At 51.8% G+C, this 1,996-nt stretch overlaps 1 annotated feature.

Moving 5' to 3' along the window:
• Positions 225-1,107: an enhancer, noted in NCBI's record as "H3K27ac-H3K4me1 hESC enhancer chr1:203541106-203541988 (GRCh37/hg19 assembly coordinates)". NCBI's record gives its function as "activates a minimal SCP1, AML or CMV promoter by ChIP-STARR-seq in naive H9 embryonic stem cells {active_cell/tissue: H9 hESC(naive)}" and the evidence as "EXISTENCE:reporter gene assay evidence [ECO:0000049][PMID:30033119]".

Below are 1,996 nucleotides of genomic sequence, written 5' to 3'. Positions count from 1 at the left end.
AGGCTCTAAACCATGGATTCTGGAATCTTCCTGCCAACAGAACCTCAGGGATTATTTGGCCTAAGCTCCCACTTGAAGTAGGAGTCTTCTTTATAGGAGCCTCCTGTAAAGATGGGCATTCAGCACCTGCTTGAATACCTCCAGTGATGGAGGACTCACTACTCGATGTAGCAGCTTGTGTCTCAGTGACATTGAGCAGTGTATTTAGGTGACCTTTGCAAGGTCACACATCACTCTGTGACTGCTGCCTGGAACTACGGGGCTATTCCTCCATATCCCTTTCTCTGCTTGCTGCCTCCTCCTGCTCCCAGGACTCACCTCCTAGGGTAGCCTGACTGGCACGCTGTCTCTGGAGCCACCACGCCGGAGGTGGCAGGGTGCTGTTGGAGTGGGTGAGCTGCCTGGGGTGCCAAACTTCTCCAGCCCTGCAAGACTCAGAGGAGAGGGGGATGGAAGTAGTGTGGGTGTGTGGCTCTGTGGGGTGGGCAGGGTGGATTTTTTTCCCTATTTGTTTTCCATTTTTCTCTCCTCCCGGTGGTTGGGCTGGCTGATTGGAGGTGCGGGTGTGTGGGGGTGGTGTGTGCTTGTGTGTGCACGCGTGTGCGTGTGTGCATGCACAGCTGTGTGGGAGGGCATCCGTGCAGGAGGCTTCACGCTGGAGCGGCCTCTCCTTGCTGACCAACTCTGACAGAGCTCCCACTGATTTGGCCTTAGAAAGTTTCATGGTTTTGACAGGAACAAAACAGAAGATGCAGATAGGCTGTGCGGTTTCCTTGGCAACTCGAAAACATGGGTGGGGGAGGGGATGGTGGGAACCAGAGAGAAGGGAGTGATTGGGCTCCACCACTCAGCTCTGTCCCCCCTCTTTTTTCCCTCAAAATAGCTCAGGATAAAATGTTGAACCATTCTCAGCATTCCTGTCCCTGGCCCACAGGAATGGAGAAGGAACTCAGCAGCAAGGAAGGCGCAGAGGTGCCCCTCGGATAAGGGAAGCAAGAGATCTGCCTTCTAGAGGATTCTGACGCCTCTTATTCTCTTTCTTATCAAGCTGACTTGTCTCCTCTACCTTCCACTCCCTTATTTTGTTATCCCGGCAGCTTTAAGGACTCACCTTCCCCAAACTAACCCAAGGAAAACCAGAATCCCACGCTCCCAGGTTCTCTACCTTAGAGTGACGTGACTGGTAAGGAAGCAAGGAGTGGGTGTCTCTCCTCCCCTCACCAGCCACGAAACCTTGGGACAGCTCCATTCCTAGAAAGCAGGAGACTGAACTAAGTCGGAGGTGGATGACGGAGACTGTTCATTAAGGAATAAAGACGTTGGGCCAGGCATGGTGGCTCACTCCTGTAATCCCAGTACTTTAGGAAGCTGAGGCGGGCAGATCATGAGGTCAGGGGTTCAAGACCAGCCTGGCCAACATAGTGAAATCCCGTCTCTACTAAAAATACACATAGTAGCTGGGCGTGGTGGTGTGCACCTGTAATCCCAGCTGCTAGAGAGGCTGAGGCAGGAGAATCGCGTGAACCGGGGAGGCAGAGGTTGCAGTAAGCCAATATCGCACGATTGCACTCCAGCCTGGGCAACAGTGAGAGACTCTGTCACCAAAAAAAAAAAAAAAAAAGAAAGAAAGAAAGAAAAGAAATAAAGATGTTTATTACTAATTAGTGAGACTGTCTCCCCTACTGCAAGTTCACCTCCCAAGTGAACGTGCTCAGACCACCTGCCCTAGAGGCAGCACCCCAGAGCTCCAGTAAGACCCATGCCCAGCAATTCTTTTTTCCTTTTGAAAAAGGGTCTCACGTTGTCACCCAGGCTGGAGTGCAGTGGCACGATCTCGGCTCATTGCAGCCTCGACCTCCCCAATTCAAGCAATCCTCCTGCCTCAGTCCCCTAAGTGGCTGGGACCACAGGCATGCACCACCACATTAGCCTGGCGAATTTTTTTTTTTTTTTTTTTTTTTTAGAGACAGAGTTTCACCATGTTGCCCAAGCTGAT

This window comes from Homo sapiens, chromosome 1, assembly GCF_000001405.40.
Source record: "Homo sapiens chromosome 1, GRCh38.p14 Primary Assembly".
NCBI classification, from domain to species: domain Eukaryota; kingdom Metazoa; phylum Chordata; class Mammalia; order Primates; family Hominidae; genus Homo; species Homo sapiens.
Note: the sequence above shows the minus strand (reverse complement) of the source record. Positions and strands in the feature narration are given on the sequence as shown.